At 39.4% G+C, this 8226-nt stretch overlaps 1 pseudogene; it reads right to left on the reverse strand.

Moving 5' to 3' along the window:
- SNRPGP11 (small nuclear ribonucleoprotein polypeptide G pseudogene 11) lies at positions 1616-2014 on the reverse strand (annotated as a pseudogene).

The raw sequence follows: 8226 nt of genomic DNA on the forward strand, positions 1-8226 counted from the left end.
AAGGTATTTTGTAGATGTGTAACATCTACAGTTGACTTTAAGCAAGGGAGAATATCTTAGATAGTCTGGTTGTGAGTCAGTCAGTTGAAAAGTGTTAGCAGCAGAGCCAAGATTTCCCAGAAGAAGAAGAAATTCTGCTTATGGACTGCCTGCACCTTTCTGACAGCCTGCCCTATAAATTTCACACTTGTCTAGCCAGCCACTGTAATCATGTAAGCCAATTCATTGTAATAAATCTCAATATATATATCCTATTGGTTGGCTTCTCTGATTAAACCCTGACTGACACACACGAGTACTATAAAGTCATTTTAGTAAACTTTTTAAAGAAGAAATCATCAAGTAACATATTTTTAAGTATATTATGAATAATTATTAAAATTATAATTAACTATAATAGCTTTAATGAGCTTAAAGATATTATTCTACTATAGCACACCATGAATGATAATATTAAAAACTACTGAATTTACATTTATGCCCTGACTTCCATGCTCCTTTTTAAAAATAATGAATTTTAAGCCCTAGCCATATAATTCAGTAATTTTGATGAGAAAGACATCATCTCTTTTTATTTTTAAAAATAAGTTTCTTGAAATCTCGTCACTGGCCTGTGTTAATGTTCTCATTTTCCTTGTGGTGAATTTATAATCTTTTCTAAACTCTCCATAAAAAGAAAAACTCATAGTCTTTCCTTAATGTTTCGATCTCATTTTCAGTGCCTTAATTTTACTTTCACTGTAAAATGAAATAGAATTGCTATGGTAAGCAATGGTGAATCTTTGATGCATTGCTTTTTTTTTCATTGACACTTTTAATTCTGTCTTAATAGAATCTGATTTCAAGCTCTGTTCTGTGGCCTACAGATATTCTAAGATGGTTTAAACAGTTTGGTTAAGCAATAAATTTCAATATATTGATTACCTGAGTGTATGTATCTATTGATTAATTGTGAATGAATGACTTCCATACAGATTATGTTATTTCACATGCTCTTCACTTCTCTGAGTGAGTAGTTCTCAATTATCCATACTCAGAGAAAAAACAGTGGAATGAAAAATCCAAAGTGGCAGATCTTCCAAAAATTATTTACATTTGACCTCATATTTAAACACATGTAATTAAACCAGGCAGACATTGTAAAGGGCCTGGAATAACACTTAGCATTTTACATATCTGTGGTTTTCAATCCTGGCTATGCAGCAAAATCAAATGTGGAAGTTTTAACATGCATGCCAAAGTCTTGCTCCCAGCGTTATTTGATTCAGTAGGTTTGGAGGGGAGCCTTGGCTTGAGAACTTGCTTGCTTTCCTCTTCCACAGGCTCAGCCAATTCATTGAGGCTCTTCATGTTACTCTGGAATCACAAAATGTAAGAATAAAAGGGGTAGAAAGTCCTGTTGTCCAACCACTTATTCAGTACTCAAGAACCCTAAGCAACAGCCTGAAGTGGTCACCCAGCCTTGCTTAAATCCCTCCAGTGACAGCAGATTAAATTCTTCCTAAGGCAATCTGACCCATTTCTGAAGATTGCTAGAATCTCCCTGAATTTTACATTCATACTTCCCTTTTCAGTCCCCAAGTTAGGATGCCTTACTGTCATTCTTTTGTTTTGTTTTTTGACTGTTACAAAAGTTTATTTACAAAAAGTTTAATATGAAAATACACATGACCCAATATTTACATCATAGCAAAACAGGCCCTTTGGAGAGGGGACATAAATGTCTCTCCTGAACACAGCCATTATATATCCTTGTTCCAAGATTTCTAACAAGATGACACCATTTCCTTATATCACCACCTTTCCAGTATTGCTCTGTTGCCCACCAGCTGCCATCTCCACACATTCATCCATTACAAGATTCATTAAGGGATCGAATCCCCTACAATATTCCTTGGACATGTCTGCCACCACTTAATTTCAGTGATAACGTCTTGCCCATAAATAATTTCAACATGGAAAGGTAAGCTTTGCTCATGGTGTCTACTCCATGGACTCACAGAGGTCTTGAAACAGAATTCCCCTTACTGTCATTCTATCACATATACTCCTAGTCTATCAACTGTTGCTGCAGGAAGTCACAAAAAAAGTATTGATTGGATCATTCCATATCTGAGTTACCCACTATTGCTTGCCAATACTTGTAAATTCATATTTTTTTCTGCTTCTCAAATTCCCCGTAACAGCTGAACCAAAACTTTATATATTCTTAAACCCCATCCCCATTCCCACATTCCCAAAAGATGATCTCACCTCTCAGTTTTTTATGTTTGTTTAGAAGATTAAGACTATCTTTTTGTATTTGTCTTTTCCATCTCTACAATTGCCTATTTTCACCATTTAAGATGATACTTATGATGACCCTCTATTGTTAAGAAATGTTCCATATTTTTCCAACTCTTAACAAATTCACTTATGTCCATCACAGTCTTTCATGCCTTGTATGGAACATTTTTCCAAAATTTGCCTATACTTTATTACATATTTACTCTTTTTCATTGCCCAAAATCCTACTTGGTTCTCCTGTATTTTAAAAACAAAATGAAAAAATTTTTTTCAGCCCTGACAACCACTCAATCTACTATTCTCTCTCCCTATTTTTTACACAACATATTTCTAGGAGAAAAGATCCATTAATCTCTATTAGCTTCCTTGAGTTTCTCACTTCATGGTACACTGTCGTCTCCACCTCTGGCATGGTATTGACTTTCTGCTGTACTACAATAGACTTTTCTCAGCCTCACCTTCTGTGACCTCTTCCCAGAATGTTACGTGCCTCCCCTTGATGTGATTTCTGCTTTCTCCGTCCTTTCTAGCCTTTGATATGCATTCCTGCTACAGCACCTAACCCCTTCTAAAGGGTGTTACAGTATCTGCTGCTTGTCTGATCTGTCCCATTAGACAGGAGGCCATGTATAGCAGTGACTTACACAGAGAAGGCAATCTGTACATATTTGATGAACAACATTCAACATTTTAGAAATTTATAAGATTTTAAGTAACAACGAAGCCACATAGTAAAAATATGTCTGGGTACCCAGCCTGCCTTTTTCCAATTTTCCCTCTCCTTGCTCCTCCTCACTTTCTTCTTCACATTAAAAATAGCTTTTATAGCTGATAAAATTTATGTGAGAAACGAAGCTGAAGCCCAGCTTAACCTCCCTCAACTTTCTCTTTTTCTTTCTGAGGTAGAATACATTTATTATTCATTAAATCATATTTGTGGGCATGTGTGTGTGTGTGTGTATACACATGTGATACATTCTTATAAAGGATTCTCACCAAACAAACTAAAACATAAAGCCTCCTGCCACTGACAGTTTGACAGGTATGTTTTAAGTTATTTCTTCTATGCAATTAGTACCTTCAAAAAAAAATGCAAGCCAAGATTTGCTATAAATAATCCTGATCAGGATAATCAAACACTGTAGTCATGCAACTTCCTATTTTTCCTTCAGTTTGATTTATATCTGCCATGTTCTTTAGATACAGCTACTACTGTTTATTGCTGTTAATTCCTTGACACCAAATCTTTCTGAAGGGTGTGTATCATTTTCCATTTTTCCCAAATGTACGTTACAAATCTTTCCTCTAAGTGGGGAAATTTATAGCAAACAAAAAATGTTGCATCTGTTCAAATTGTCAAAGAATTTCTGAAAGAATGGAAGTGAGTAAGTTTAGCTGAGCAACAACACCAAAATGATAAATTCTGGGGAAAAATAATGACTTGGGAAAATGCAGATTACAATATATGGACAAAGTCTCAAAATGAGCTCTGTGACATGAATGCAGTATATAATTCGTTTTCAATCATAAATGGTTCATTTGCATAAGCACTTATTAAGTATCCAGCACTGTTCTAAGCACATTGCATGGATGATGGGATTCAATCTTCACTCCATCACTAAGAGGCAGATACTGTCATTATTCACATTTTATCGATGAGAAAACTGTGCCCAAGTCACACTATTTGTAAGTAGTAGATCAAGTATTCAAACTCAGATCTGTCTAACTTGAAAGCTCACTATTTCATTTCTTCAACAAATATTAATTGAACACCTACTCTGAGCCAGACATTGAGAAACAAACAGACAATGGTCACTGTCCACATGGAGTTTACAATCTAACAATGGAGAGAGGCATTAATCAGTTAGTAAAACAAATCATTATTTGGATTAAAATTGTCATACTCACCACAGGCAAAGGAATATTATGTGATCTATTCCAAACCTCTAGACAGTGACTGTTAGAGGTCCAATAAATTCGGATGAATATTGAATAAGATTGCTTTGAAAGTAAAATGTGGTGGACTTAACCCTGTCTTGGTGGAGGCCAGGGAAGGCTTCCTCAGAAGGTGACATTTAAGCTGAGACTTGAAAGATTATTTGAGCCGACAGGAGGTAGGAAAAGCTTGCAGGGAAAGGGTGTTTTAAGCTGTGTGCCTACAGTGCTTGGCAAGGAAGAACCTTGGCAGATAGAAGGATAGAAAGTAGACCAGTAAAGTGGAAGCATAGATGGCAGGTGAGCATGAGTACATAGGGCGGCCCAAGACAAACTGAGGAGGCAAGAAAGCTATGGTCACCCATAGGTACATGAGCCATATAAAGATTCTCATCTTAATTTTAAAAGCAATATGTTGCCAGGAAAGGGTTTTAATAAGAAGAATGTCAGCAACAGATTTCCACTGATCACTGTAGCTAGAGTGCAGTCATTGACGAAATCAGTTACCAGTTGCAGCAGTTCAGACTTGGACAAGGATGCCAGCAGCAGAGAATAAGAGAAGTGAACAGATGAGTCTTGCTTAGGAGTTGAGTGTCTAGATATGAAGGGTAAGACAGAGTGATCAGTCAGGGTGCCTGTATTAGTTTTCTATTGCTGTGTAACAAGTTACTCCAAATGTAGCAACTTCAAACAACATCTATTATCTCACACAGTGTCTTCAAAGGTCAAGAAACTGGGAGCAGCTTACCTAGTTCTGGCTCAGTCTTTCAAGAGGTTGCAGTCAGCCTGTTGGCAGGTGTTGTAGTCATCTAAGTTCGGACTAGGGTTGGAGGAGCTGCTTTCAGTCTCGCTCACATGGTTGTTGCAGACCTTAGTTCCTTACCATGTGGGTCTCTCCATGGGACTGCTTGACACAGAAGCTGGCTTCCCCAAAGTGAGAATTCCAGAGAGACTCTGAGACAGGGAGGTGGTGGTAGGGAATGGGGAGAGAGAGGGGGTGAGGAGATAGAGAGAGAGAGAGAGAGAGAGAATGTGAACAAGAAGGAAGCTGCAGTGATTTTTAGGATCTAATCTCAGAAGTAACGCATCATCACTTCTGCCATATTCTACTGGTCACATTGACCAAGTCTGATACATTATGGGAGAGGACTACACAAGTTCATGAGTACCAGGAAAGATATCACTAGGGGCCACCTTGGAGGCTAGTTACCACCACCATGTGATGGCACTTTCAAATTAGGGTAATTTGTGAAATTTCTCATGCACACGTGAGTGGATGTGTATGAACAGTTTGTTTTCTTACAAAGGGACAATTTACAAAGATATGTGCAGGGATTAGGCAGACCACAAAGGGATCATGCAAGTTCCTAGAGCTCGAAGGAGAAAGAATTGTGGAGTGCAGGGCCACCTTGAGAGGAGTCATGCTGGGAGACACACACACAGCTATGTGCTGGAGCCACCTCATAGGACACATGAGAGCTGACTGCATCTTTTCCCAACTTGTATTCAATGATGTCACACTGGTAGCCTAAAATCGGTCATGGTGGGAATACGGTACCATGGTAATCAGCAAATACTGTAAACCAGAACTTTTTTTTTTTTTTTTGCAGAAAGCCAGTTAAACATTTACTAGCACACCACTAGGCATAGACAGACTGAAGCAACCTCTTAAGGTGGTAGCTAAGAGAACTCACACCCAGACCCTACTCTCTCAAGGCAGAGGGAGGACGAAACTCAACCAGGAAGCCAGAGAACACAGGAGCCACTCTACATGCTCTACACAAACCATCCCCTGGAAAAGATAGCAGGGTACAGACTAGAACCGCATAGTAAGGCTACCTATCATGAATGCACTCCTGCCTGGGTGACAGAATGGCTCTCCAGTGTCTTCTTCAAGCAAGTGTGTCGACAGTGATTCAAGTAACTGAAAGAGAAACCAACAAAGTATCATTTGTCGCAATATCTCAATTATTCTCTTTTAACCATCCTTATCACTCTTGATTTTCCACATCAGTGGGGGGAACTTTGGCAGACAATTGAAAATATCACGTTTTCCGGTCAGGTCAGTGAATGAGTTTTGCTTTGTTTTGGTTTTTATAAACAATGGAAACTGACCCTGGCTAAGTTAAGAGAGAAGAGAAAGATGTGGGACAGCTCCCAGAATGAAAAAACAACCTGAAGAGTGAGACTCAGAAAGAGCAGCCCTGGGGTAGAAAGTGGTTGATGATCTCTTCAGAGCATCATTGTTGAAATCCTGGTCCTTTTTTTTTTTTTTTTTTTTTTTTTTTTTACACAGTCCTTGACTTACCCTGCTCAAGATACACTAGTCTAGAATAAAATTTGATTGGCCAACTCTCTTGGCAAGAAGCAAGTTTCCTTAACTAGCAGTCCCACTGGGACTGCCACAGTGAGGAGCCATTAGTTCCCAACAAGCAACTCACAGTGCTCTTAGAAAGAGGAACAGGAGCTGGGAAGCCAAGGAGCAGCAAACGTCCTCAACAATCTGGGACACGACCTTGCTCCAAGGTCCCTCCTAAGTTGCAGGTGGAGGGGAGCAACATTCAGACCAGTAAACTGGAAGTAATTGAGAATTAGTTGTTCTTTTAAAATCTTCAGGCATAATGTCAATAATTCAGAATGCCATAGAATCTGACATTAGAAGAGTTAATGTTTAAAAATCAAAGGTATTAACTAAACATTGGAACTAAAATAAATAGGAAACTGGAAGAAAAGCTGAAATGTGCTCCTGTATAAAAGGAAAATCAAAGCCACTGTTGTGCCATATCTGATGACCACATAAGTATGTAAGCATTGTGAGTTTGTATGAGACTTTCTGGTACACATTGGTTGTAAATATGAGGTCAGAGAAAATTCTTGGCTTCGGCAGGACACAGTGGCTCAAGCCTAGGAGGCCAAGGTGGGCGGATCACATGAGGTCAGGAGTTCGAGACCAGCCCAGCCAACATGGTGAAACCCCGTCTCTACTAAAAAAACAAAAATTAGCCAGGCATGGTGGTGCATGCCTGTAATCCCAGCTACTCAGGAGGCTGAGGTATGAGAATCGCTTGAACCCGGGAGGCGGAGGTTGCAGTGAGTCGAGATTGCACCACTGCACTCCAGCCTGGGTGACAGAGTGAGGCTCTGAGAAAGAAGGAAAGGAAGGAAGGAAAGGAAGGAAGGAAGGAAGGAAGGAAGGAAGGAAGGAAGGAAGGAAGGAAGGAAGGAAGGAAGGAAGGAAATTCTTGGCCTTTAGGGCTGTGGGTCCCCCTGGTCTGCATTGTTCTGCTCTCTCCACTCCTCCAAGCCCTGCTGTCCTTCAAGACTCAGCCCACATGTTTTCCCTCTGAGTCTTCCTGGACCAAATCCAGCCCAATCCATGATTAGTGTTTGTCATCTATGCCTTGTACTTGGCACTTTTCAAATGTCCCCTTAGCTTGTTACACACATCTTAGGTATGAGTCCTGATCTTCATTTAAGGTTCAAGAATATTGGAGGCAGGATCTCTGTCTGACAATGATAAGTTGGCTGTTGGAGGTTTACTACAACTTTATAAAAACTTGATCTTTCTTTCTTTTTCTAGTTCCTCTTCTTCCTAACCTCAAAAATATGAACCTTCACAAACGCTTGCCCTTCTTCTCTCTTTTTTCTACCTCACAATGTTATGTGTTAAAGATTGATTAATGAGAGTATACATATGAAAGCCCAGGAAGGACTTAGGTGCAGATGTTTTAATTTTGTATGATGCCCTTCCCACTACAAGGTCCCCCAAGCACATGCACATCCCTGTAATGCTTACTAATATTGATAGTATTTGCCTCATGCTACATGTACTTTCTCAATGATCTCATCTACTTGGGTAGTTTCACTGTGATCTTTTAGGGGACAACTCCCCTTCTGCCTCCAGCTGACTCATCTCCCAGCCCCAGGCCTGTATTTCTGATCAGTTGTTCTGTATCCATCTCAGACTCAGCACATCCTGAATTGAACTTATCCTTCCATACAAGC

This window comes from Homo sapiens, chromosome 13, assembly GCF_000001405.40.
Source record: "Homo sapiens chromosome 13, GRCh38.p14 Primary Assembly".
Classification (NCBI taxonomy): domain Eukaryota; kingdom Metazoa; phylum Chordata; class Mammalia; order Primates; family Hominidae; genus Homo; species Homo sapiens.